Source organism: Homo sapiens, chromosome 6 (assembly GCF_000001405.40).
Source record: "Homo sapiens chromosome 6, GRCh38.p14 Primary Assembly".
In the NCBI taxonomy this organism is placed as follows: domain Eukaryota; kingdom Metazoa; phylum Chordata; class Mammalia; order Primates; family Hominidae; genus Homo; species Homo sapiens.
Window position 1 is genome coordinate 12,889,184 of NC_000006.12, and position 12,588 is coordinate 12,901,771.

Genomic DNA, 12,588 nt, shown 5'->3' on the forward strand with positions numbered 1-12,588 from the left:
ATGGTTTCAGCCAGGAGATCAAAGCTGCAATTAGCTGTGTTTATGCCACTGCACTCCAGCTGGGGCTACAGAGCGAGACCCAATCTCAAAAACACACAAATAAAATCAGTGGGATGGAGTACACTCTTCCCACAGACAAGGGTGAGAGAGGAAAGTGAATGTTTACTTCAGTAAGATGAATGAGCCTCTATCTCTGCCTGTCTCAAAGACATAGAATGATTCAACATGTCCTAATCAATGCGTGCTGGGAGAACTACAAATGTAAAGAAAACATGTTATTTGGGAATGTATAGGCTTGGAAAGGAATTAAAATGATTTTGTCGGCCTTCTCTCAAATTTCAGTGACATTTGGGAGTAGTTTGGCAGCAAGAAAGATCTACCAATGAGCTAACCAGTCTTTCTTTAGCTAGTGTTTCAGTGTTATTTTTTTGGCCATTTTGATGCATTTCAAGTTTTTATGTTCATAGATTCATTTAACAAATGATGTAACTGAAAGATGGACTTGAAATTTGATTAGAGCAAAAATCCTCCAAGGTTCAATTTTCTTCTTCTTTCTTCTTTCTTCTTCTTCTTCTTCTTCCTCTTCTTCTCCTCCTCCTCCTTCTCCTTCTTCCTTTTTTTTTTTTTTTTTAAACGACTCCCAAACTGGCAGAGATAGATTGGAGTCAAGCTATCTGGGGGCTTGTAAACATGTAGTCCCACCTGGGAAACCACATCCTGGCAGTTTACCTTCACTGCTACTACCTGGTCCAGGGCACCCTCAAATCACCTGTGTTCTGCCATGGTCCACTAACACAGGGGTCCCCAACCCCCGGGTCGTGGACTGGTACTGGGCCATGGCCTGTTAGGAAGTGGGTGGGGCAGCAGGAGATGAGCGAGGGCTAGTGAGCATTCCCGCCTGAGCTCCATCTCCTACCAAATCAGCAGCAGCATTAGATTCTCATAGGAACGTGAACCCTATTGTGAACTGCGCACGTGAGGGATCTAGGTTGCACTCTCCTTATGAGAATTTGACTAATGCCTGATGATCTGAGGTGGAGCAGTTTCATGCCGAAAACATCCTCGCCCCCAAGTTCATGGAAAAATTGTCTTCCAGGAAACTGGTACCCTGGTGCCAAAAAGGTTGGGGCTCGCTGTGCTAACAGGCCTCCTACTATGCTTTCATTCCCTGCAGTCCCCAGTACTGCAGCCAGAGGGAGCCTTTTCAGTTGCAAGGCGGACTATGAGCCTCCTCTCTTCAAAACCCTGAAATGGCTTCCACTTCACTCAGAGAAAAGCCAACCCGCCCCCATTATGTGCAGGTCATACCTGTTCTGGGTCCTGATTCCCCATATTTCTGTCCTTCATCCACCCCTGACTCGCTTGACCCAGCCTCATGGGCCACCTTGTTCCTGAACACAAACACATCAAACACATTCCCTTCTTAGGGCCTTTGCTCTAGGCGTTCGGTTTCCCTTTGCCTGGAGTGATCTTCCTTCAGATATCTGCTTGGTTAAATCCCTCACTTCATTTAAGTGTTTACTCAGATCTCCCCTTCTCAGGGATATACATGTGGATCACCATTTTTAAAAACGAACACTGCCCCACCACACTTCTGGTCCTTCCAACTCTGTTTTACTTGTTCTTTTTTCAGTATCTCTATATTACCTTTTAACCTTCCTAATAATTTGCCTATTATATTTACTGTGTAATATCTATCTTCCCCTCACTGATGTAAGTTTGATGAGACCAGATACCTTTGTCTATTTTGTTCACTCATGTATCCCAGTTGCTGATAATAATGCTTGGGACAAAGTAATGCTCAATAATCATTCCTTAAATGACCAGCTGAGCCCTGATCTTCATTCCTTGAAATATAAACTTGTAAAAAAAGATTTTTGTAGGTTGCTAGGCTACTTCCTTTATCATTTTACTTGCATTTCAAATGAAAGTTAAATTTTTTTTCTCATTCATCATGTTTGAGGAGGTAGTAATTTGCAAAGTAGTATCAATTTTTCTTGGGGGGATAATATCACCATTTTTAATATGATCATGTAACATTTGGGTGATCAGTGTGAAAAGCTAGTCAGTACTCCTACCATTTTTTTTTACAAATTATGTTAACATGCTAAAGTGGGTAACATGATGTAGTTTAATCCATATCTTGTCCCTGACAGCCCCTTTTCCGTGAGTTATTCAAATGTGAGTTGGAAGTCAAACATACAAAGGAGACCTCCCTAAATGTTCTGACTTTCTTATAAATATGGTGCTGTCATTACTTAGATTGAGACATGTTTGCATTTTTATCATGAGGAAACAAAGAAATGAAGTTTGAAGATGCTATGTGACTCAAAGCCTCAAGATGGATAAACCTTACCAATGGCTACTCCAGGTTACTTCTGGTTTTCATGAACTCACTTATGCTCCTGTCAAAAAGCCTTTATGATCCCCCTCCTCCTCTGACCAAGTTCCACAATGTTTGGTGCTTCCATTAGAGTATTTGTGCCCTGTGGTAGCATTTTTCAGAGTCTGTGTTTTATGAACATGTAACCTATCCTTGTTTACATTATGAACAGCAAACCAGAATAAGTCACTTTTACTAACAGCCTTACAAGGTTTTGTACATAGTAACAGTTTACTCTGAGATCAAACCAGCCTTGAATTCATTTCACCTACATTCTGTGTAACTCTCAGCAAGTCTTTTAAACGCCCAAGCTCCAGTTTCCTTATCTGTAAAACAGGGATAATAATAGGGCCACCATAGAGGGTGCTGAGGATGATTGAATGAGATAATACTTGTAAGGCTGCTATTAGCAATTCCATCAATCATTCCCAAGTAAAGTGTAAAGGTTCTACATTAAAGAGACATGCATTCCCTAGGAAGCTACTAGCTTATGCTAAAAATCCATATTTAATACATTAGTGATATTGTGCTCCTCATGAACTCTCAACCTTTCCAAATATGTTACTAAAAGCTTTGAGCTCCTCTTGTCTTGGGATACCCAATGATATGAGACAGCAAGCAGTTTCACTCAGTTTGAATTTTCTTGTCAAAATTCGTAGTCTTTGCCAAAGGAGGACATTAAAGAAAATTATCCTCTTTGTAAAAACTGAAAGGCCTGGGACAGTGTCCAGCTCATTTATCATACAATGCATTTAGTGAGGGAGGGTTTCACTTTATGTAAGTAATAAGCTACACATGCATAACTTCTTTTGCTTGGATAGTGGCTCTTCAGACCTGGATTTAATTAATACAGAGCTGCATCTGGGTCTGTCAGAGGGAAGTGATGAAACATACGCTCCCATATGGATTTATAGCTAGTTAGAGTTTTTGCAGACTCAACTGCAAAATCTTCAAGCGAAGGACCGAGTTTGGTTGTTGACATAATAATATGGTCTTATCTAAATGTTTTGTTTTCTTTGACTATAACTTGAGTTAATGGTCAAGCAGAGCAAAAACATTGGCAGTTACTGATTCAGACACATTTATAGACATCTTTTTCCCCCCATGGAAAAAAAGGAACAGAACAGTGCAACTGAAGTTCATTCTTCCATTTATTCAGAGATGTGAAGACATGTAAGACATTGTCATAGCTCATGCTCCAGGAACACACAATGTGGAGTAAAGGAGGATGGCAGACATGGAAACTATTATCTCTGATTAAGCAGCATAAGTTCCACAAGAGATATCATCATTGATAGGGAGAATAGACTTCATCAGAGTGCTCTTTGGCATTGGGGCAGTGGGGCTCTGAGGAACACCTTTACTTGGACCAGACCTTGAAGTAATGGTGGGATTTCCAGGACAAAGAGGAAGATAGAGACCTCCAGAGAAGGAAGAGAGAGAGAGAAAGCACACAGTCTTGGCAATATAGTGTCCAGGCAACACTCGAAAGTAAAGTGGCTGAAGGTGAGATTGGAAAGAAAGGAAAATCATTTTATTTGAACCCCTACTATGTGCTGGGCCATGTGAGACACTTTACAAACATGACTCTCTGATTCTTCCTGTAAGCCATATCTTACAGGCATGAAAACCAGGGCTCCAAGAGGTCAAAAGGGTCACATAGACAGATGCGTACAAAGCTGAAGCCAAACACAGCTGTGCAGCTCCAGGGCGTATGCACTTCACATCAGGCACACAAATGCGAGGGAGGCTGGGGCACAGAAATCCAAAAAAGAAAGTTAACAAGAGCAAGATTTTTATATTTATATCTTCTAATAAGCCTTCATCCATCAACAATTTTTTTAAATGCTGCTTTAAGGTTCACTTGCTTTCATTCATAAACTGGAAAGCGAATCCCTGGACAGGTTTTAGATATATGCAAGATGACCCTGTGAATCCTTCATTATTACATACTTTATGATTTTTTTACAACTTGTATTTTGGGGGGGTCCTTCTTCCTCCTCCCTTGGACCTGCTGTACCCCTAGCCTCTGAAGCCTGCAGACTGATCACACTATTATTATCTTTCAACCATTCTGTCAGCCCCTCTTTTCCAGCCCTCAGACTGACCAAAGGCAAGAAAAACTATATATATATACAGTATGGTTTCCTTTTCTCTTCTTCCAGCATGACTGCAGATGCTACTTCTCCCTCAGGGACAAGCAGCTCTCCACACAGGCAGTTCACGCAAGTCTAAAGCCTTTTGCTAAGTCAAGTGTCACATGGGCTTCCATATTTAGCAAAGCAGCCCTGTTGCTGCAGGGAGAGAAGATTCTGGAACCCCTCTATGTAACTGATGTCAGCTGCACTCTCTGCTGAGCAGGGGCAAAGGAGACAAGACACCTTAGGCTGATGATTACATGTCTGTCAGTGAGCTCACGTTAATGGCAATTTGCAAGGGAACACATCACCCACTGGCTGACTGTGGGATTTTTATTGGTCTCTTTACTTTTTAAGCGTTCTCGCCATCTTGTGGCTACTTTCAATATTGCAGTTGAATGATTGGGCACAGGTTCAACCACCTTGCAAATCATTAACTCATCTATTCAAGTACTTTTTGAGACTCTAATATCTCAAGTACTTACACAGAAAAGCAAGTGGACAAAAGCAAATAATAAGAAAAAAGCCTAGGAGAATTAATGTAATTATTTTTCACTACACTTTAAACCTCAGTAGCCAGGCTTGTCGCTGCCAGAGGCCATCAAAACTTTTCATTTGGGCGGGGCACAGTGGCTGACGCCTATAATCTCAGCACTTTGGGAGTCAAAGGCAGGCAGATCACTTGAGGTCAGGAGTTCGAGACCAGCCTGGCCAACATGGCAATACCCCATCTCTACTAAAAACACAAAAATTAGCCGGGTGTGGTGGCACACGCCTATAATCCCACCTACTTGGGAGGCTGAGGCATGAGAATCGTTTGAACTGGCAAGGCGGATGTAGCAGTGAGCCGAGGTCACGCCACTGCACTCCAGCCTGGGTGACAGAGCAAGACTCCTTCTGAAAAAAGAAACAAAAAAACTTCTCATTGACTTTTCTGCCCAGCCATGCTGTCACCCCTAACCACATAGTAGAGTTAGACAGGTCCTGCTACATGTTAAGTCACTTAACATGTTTCTGTTAGAGCTATAAGACATCTGAGAAATGGAATCGAATGTCTATTTTATAGACCTAGAATTACATGAGGAATAAAAGCCCAGCATAGAAAAAAATATCCAAAAAAGCAAAAATTAAAATCATTTTAATTTCATCACACAGATCTTGATTAATATTTTAATGTAGATCCTTCCATATTTTTATGCTTATATGTAATAAAATAATATGCATGCTATTTTTAAACCTTCTCTTTAAAACATGTGAATATCTCTTTCTTGTTCACTACTATATCCCTAGAGCCTAGAACACTGTTTGGCACACCAGGGTTTCTCTGTAAATACTTGTTAAATGAATGAATGAATGTAAATAAACAAACCTGCAGAATTGCTTTTAATATCTGTATAATATTCTACTCTTAGGATATTGTGTATATATTTAACTAATCTACTCTTGTCTGATATTGTGACTCTTTCTTTTTTCTTTTTTTTTTTTTTTTTTTTTGAGACGAAGTTTCCCTCTTGTTGCCCAGGCTGGAGTGCAATGGCATGATCTCGGCAAACTGCAGCCTCTGCCTCCCAGGTTCCAGCGATTCTCCTGCCTCAGCTTCCCAAGTAGCTGGGATTACAGGTGCCTGCCACCACACCTGGCTAATTTTTTGTATTTTTAGTAGAGATGGGGTTTTGCCATGTTGGCCAGGCTGGTCTCGAACTCCTGACCTCAGGTGATCTACCTGCCTCAGCCTCCCAAAGTGCTGGGATTACAGGCATGAGCCACCATGCCCAGCTGATTCTTTCTATTTTTACTGTTAACAAAACTATAATAAGCAAAGGTAGTGGAATTTGATGAGTTTTACTAGATAGTAACATGGTAAAGGGGTCCCTCAGTCAACCTTGTGATTATGAGACCAGGTGCAGCAATGGTGGTAACTGCTTTCTAAACAAAATACAAGCTCTGCTACGGAGGATTGCATACTCCACACCTTTTATCCAACAAAATGAAACCAAAGTGACATCATCTTCATCAGAACTCTACGTATTGATTCTCGAGCCTAGCTGCAAATTAGCATTGCCTGCGGGAATTTCAGAACTAGGGATGCCCCCAGAGATTCTGCCTTCATTGGTCTGGGTAGGTCTCACCCACAAGGATTTTCCAGAACTCCTGGGTAACTCTAATGTGCAGCCAGGACTGAGAAACTCTGCTTTAAATAGAATGAGCCACAGGGATCATGTCAAGGAGACCTCATTATAGTACTTGTTTCCTAGTGAAGAAGCCCTCTGAGTGTGTGCAGCTCAAGATAAACACATGATGCCATGTATATTGTAGCTTCTCAGATCCAGTGCTGCAAGTTCTGCATGCTAATGCTGACTGGAACCCTTCAAACCTACTTTAGGGAATTAACAACAGAATTAATGCAAATGGAGCAAACGCCTAATAGACAACATGCCAATACCACAATGACTTTATGTACGTCAGGCATAGCCCTTGTGTACGTAAAGACATAAACTACACATTGCTGTTGTAATACAGTAAACCCATGAGCAGGCATTACCCTTGTAACTCAACATGAGTATCAGAATAGGCTTCAATTGTAGGGCAGGAGAAATTAACTTGGGAACTGCATACACGTGCTGTAATTGATTTAGCACCATTTGATAGATTTGTTAGGGTGTTTCTTCTCACAGATTCTTCAGAAACATAGACCACATATTCCCTTGACAATTCCCGTCACCTGCTTACTCTCAGCTTTCATTTTATGTTTATCAGACTTCTGAGCTATCCCGTCTGAACTGAGCATGCCCGGATCACGGAGGCCCACCCCAACCCTAAGGTACAATTAAGTGCTTCACAGGGGATTGAAATGCCAGACAGTGCCATGGGACAGAAAACACCATAGGGCATTGGATGGGATCCCTGTTCCCCGGGAGATTCTAGTTAATAATAAAAGTAAACAAAGTAAACAGCAGAGAAACATTCTCCAGTGCTGAAAGCCGTTCTAAACATACTTATTTAGGGAATAAAGTGTCTCCTTTAGAAAACTACAGTGAATTGACGGTTCGTTATATGTATTTCTTCCCACACAATTGGTTTTGATCCATGTGGTTCTTTCTTGCCTTTTAAGTGTCCTTCTTGTATTTTTTTTGGAGGGTCAGTGGGTCTCTCTAGAGAACTGGAAAGGTCAGTTATCTCCAATGTACTAGGGGTAGAATTCAAAGTAAGGTAGCTGGAAATTCTATTGATCCCTTGTTGATAGTGAAGTTTAAGCTCCCAGTATGCCTTCTTGAGCAGTTAGTTCACTGTCACAAAGAGTTCCACCTAAATCCATCACTTGGATCCAGGGCAGACGTGGAAATGTTGGACCAAAATAAAATTTCCCCAGCAGGGATGATCACACACATCCTTTTTAAAGGGGCCATTTCTGAAAACAACAGGTAATTAAACTGTATAATAATGAGACTCCTCACCACCCTTGGCTTCTGTGTCCCTCTGTTGCATAGTGGACATGGAAAATATGTCATAACCTTGTCTCTTATTTTCACTTCATCTCCATGTGAGGAGGAGATTTAGCGGTATCTATGTCATTAAGTCAAATAATCCCATAGAAAATACTCATTCTTGCAGCGCAAGAGGTTCATCCTCCCGCTTTAAGCCAATCCCACCCCTCTGGCCACAGACTCCACCCATCCTGCCTCTTTTGGGGACCTCCTCTATCATCCCTCTGCTTCTACTAGTGTTTTCCATTGACATTAAACATGCCCAGTCTCTCCCATGCTACAAATAAAGCCTCCACCAATCCTGCATCCTCTCATTATTGCCATAGGCTATCACCCTAACTCCCCCTACTCTGGCACACACAGACTTCGCCTAATTTATAGCGTCCACTTCCTCTCTTTTATTTATATCCTCAATTTGGCTGTAGCCTCTCCCATTCCACTAAGCCCTCTCCAGCCAAAATGACTTATTGTGTATTTGTTCTAACATGCAACAAGCACTTTGTAATCTTTTATTATTATTATTATTATTATTATTATTATTATACTTTAAGTTCTGGGGTACATGTGCAGAACATGCAGTTTTGTTACATAGGTATACATGTGCCATGGTGGTTTGCTGCACTCATCAACCTATCACCTACATTAGGTATTTCTCCTAATGTGCTCCCTCCCCTATTCCCTCACCCTCCAACAGGCCCTGGTGCGTGATGTTCCCCTCCTTGTGTCCATGTGTTCTCATTGTTCAACTCCCATTTATAAGTGAGAACATGTGGTATTTGGTTTTCTGTTCTTGTGTTAGTTTGCTGAGAATAATGGTTTCCAGCTTCATCCATGTGCCTGCAAAGGACATGAACTGATATCTTTATTCTACTGAACTTCCGGGGCAGCATTTAGCACTGTGGACCACTGTCTCCTTGAATCACTCATTTTATTTCACCTCAGGCCACCTCATTCTCTTAGGGTTTCTCTTTTTCCTATCTCTCTGTCCATTTTTGCCACTTCTCCTTCCTTTTGTTCTCCTAAACCTTATGTTTACACACGGTCCTGCCCTCTACCATTTTCTCTTCTCTGGAAAGCTTCCCTGCCCAAGGGATCCGTCCACTCCTTCGTCTCCAAATACCGACGGGAGCTGATGACTCTCAAAGCTCCACTTCATTCGAGCTTGCCCTCCTCAATCCTAAAACCATGTGTCCAACAGACCCCACAACCCCAACATGTCCCCGACTCAGCCTCCACTCGCCCTCAGCCCACTTCTATAGTTCCTGTCTCCATCAGCAGCAATGCCAAGAGCCTATTTGCCAAACCAGAAACCTGGCAATCCTCCTTCATGACCAAATGGCCAACTCCTGTCAAATCGACTTCCTAAATGTCTCAGACATATCTGCCTCCTTTTATCTTGGCCGCTGCTACTTTTAATCCAGGCTACTGACATTGACTCGCACTGGGACCACCTTGGCCAGCTCCTGGCAGGACTCATTGCTTCCATTCTTTCGGATCCAGTCTCGTGCTGCAGGCAGAACACTCTTTCTCTCTCTGTCGGCCGCAATCTGTCCTTGTTGCCGGGACTTCCCCATCGATGTCAGAATGCAAATTCCTTAGCTTATGCTCTGTGAGGTTCTCTGTAATCTACCCGCTTGCCTTCCACCCTTCTATGTGTTGATCAGCTCCCCTGCACCGCACTGCAGCCCTGTTCCCAGTACTTGCAGTTCCTTCAACTTGCCTCGCTGTATCTCACCCCTTGCCCTTTGCACATGCTGTTCCCCTGGGCCTGTCTGAAATGTGCTTCCACCAGCAAAGCTACCCCACTCCACTTCTGGCCTATGCTTCCTCATATGCAGCTTCCCTGGTAAAGCCTCCTTTGGTCCCCAGTATCTGTGACAGTGGCCTCCCTGCATTCTCCCAGAGCACCTGTGCGTGCTTCCCTCACATCACTTCTTACATTGGACTGAAATTGCTGCTTGTCTGTGGTTTCCCCACTTTAATAGGGCTGTACCTTCCTTACAGGAGGGGCCAAATCTTATTCATGATTTGCCCACACCTATCACATGCCTGACATACAGTAAGGGATCAAGAAATATTCATTGCAGCAAGGTTTTACTTTCCTAATGCAGGGTTGTTATGGGGAATAGTGATGGAAATAATCATTTTAAAGGCATTAAAGTAATAACAGCACCCCCAGAGAAAGATGATATATCAGCCTTTTACCTGTTAATGTAATTTTCAGACATATCTGTATGTCATAAACTGTTAAAATAGCCCAGCTAATAGGGTTCCTTTAATTTGTCTGAGTGAATGAATAAAACTATAATTAAAAGGGTGTGCCTTGTAGTTACTTGCAAGTATTCATAAAAATCAGACACTAAAGTAATAAAACAGTCAGTGACAAGAGAGGCAAGCTGCAATTTCCAGGTACTGGAGTCACTGTGTGTTTGCCTGCACCCTCTTCTGGGTTGACTGAGAATAGCTTAAGCGTTGAAAAGACTCCCAAAGGACATCTTTATGCTTAGGATAAGCCCTGCAGTGTGGTTTCACATTCAGATCAACTCTGTCTTTCTAAATGAGAAGGAATTGTTGAGGAAAGTGTATGACATTACGATTGATCAAGAAACTGCTTTTTTCCAGCATGGCATGAGCTCACTGCGCAGGAGACTGCACGCCCGGGTCTGTGATGTGTGGTGCCTCCCTGTGTCCATCCCACTGAGAGGGATGGGCTCCATGGTGGTCACAAGAGGGCCATCATCACTGGGGACACAGCTTGCCCCCTTACACCACCAGTGGCCCCTGCCCTGGCAGCCAGAAAACCAAGCTAGGGGACCTCCTCTGTCTAGTGGACCCTCCCTGAAGCACATTGGCCAGATTTAGCAAATATTTAACAAATATTTTATCTGGCAACCCTATCTCTGACATACCTCACCCCACTGTATCGCCTTCTGGTCTCCTTGCTTCACTTCTTCAAACCACTTGTTCTTCCTCTTAAAGATTGGCCTCTTAAATTGCTTGAACTTAAGATTTTTTACTTTATTATTTTTAACTTGTCTGAATCCCTCCTTCCCCCTCTTTCTGTTGTTTTTAAACAACTTCCATTTAGCTCATCATTTTTTTTTTCGAAGCGGATACCTTTATCTTGTGATTTATTATTACTTTCATCTTACTTTAACTCCCACTCATCTTGTGCTGAGAGGCTTTCAAGCTTTACATTTTCTGGTCTCTAAAATTGTTTGTTCTTTTGCATTGTCTTGGCTTATTTTAATATTTTATCATGGGAAGCTGAGGTGAGTGGATTGCTTAAGTCCAGGAGTTTGAGGCCAGCCTGGACAACATGGCGAAACCCTGTCTCTACAAAAAATACAAAAATACACTACGCCAGGCGTACTGGTGTGTGCCTGTAGTCCCAGCTACTTGGGCGGCTGAGTGGGGAGGATTACCTGAGCCCAGGAGGTAGAGGCTGCAGTGAGCAGAGATTGTGCCATTGTACTCCAGCCTGGGCAACACAGTGAGACCCTGTCTCAAAATATATATACATATCAATTTTTATATTAAAGTCCATGTTCAGTGCCTGACTTGTATATGAATTATTCTTTGCCTCATTTTTACTTTATCTACTTTTCACTAATCATTCCTAACTCTTGTGTGTGTGTTTTCGTTTTAACTCGACGTTTTGCTTGATGTTTAAACCTCTTTTGCTTGTTTTTTCTTTCATTGCTCAGGTAAGTGTTACCTTCCATTTTTATGTTTAAATGTTATCTTTTTCTTTTTTTACGAAGGGCAGTTGAGAAAGCATGTTGATAAAGGGACAATCTGTAGGCGGCCCTGCTCTTGGGAGGAATGTGTGTTTTCTTGCTGAGGGTACCTCCTAGGGGAGAGGGTAAGGGGATCAGGAGCCCATTCCAGGCATGTTCTTTCACTTTGTTTCTTTGTAAGTAAAGAAATAAGGAGCACTGAGTCAGGAAGTGAGGCAAACCATGGGCTGATGGAGGCCCTGTTGGGCTACTGGAGAATAAGGATTCTCTTTTCTGCTTCTAACAGTGATTTTGCAACAGTATCTACACACCGGTACCAAAAACATTACTACAGCCTATTTCTGTACATAGACAGCTGCTTCTTGGCCTTCATTGTAAGTGAAGAAAGTAGAGGATACCTAAGAACAAGAGGCTCCTCTTGTAATCCTCCCCAAAGATGGTAATGTGATCCAAAAAGCTAATGCAAAGGAAGAAAGCAGAGAGAAAGGAGGGAAGGAAAGGTTGGAGGAAAGGAGGAAAGAGGGAGGGAGAGAGGGCAGAGAAAATAAAATGGATTTCACGCATTTTTTGGTTTGTTTGTTTTGAGATGGAGTCCTGCTCTGTCGCCCAGGCTGGAGTGCAATGGCACAATCTTGGCTCACTGCAACCTCCGCCTCCTGGGTTCAAGCAATTCTCCTGCCTCAGCCTCCCGAGTAGCTGGGATTACCGGCGCCCGCCACCATGCCTGACTAATTTTTGTATTTTTTGGTAGAAACGGGGTTTCACCATGTTGGTCAGGCTGGTCTCGAACTCCTGACCTCAGGTGATCCACCCGCCTTAGCCTCTCAAAGTGCTGAGATTAC

At 42.6% G+C, this 12,588-nt stretch overlaps 1 protein-coding gene across 13 annotated transcripts in view; it reads left to right on the top strand.

The window, feature by feature from the left end:
* The window catches only part of PHACTR1 (phosphatase and actin regulator 1), a 571,071-nt gene that overhangs the window by 172,417 nt on the left and 386,066 nt on the right, over positions 1–12,588 (top strand). The gene's annotated exons all lie outside the window — the stretch shown is intronic.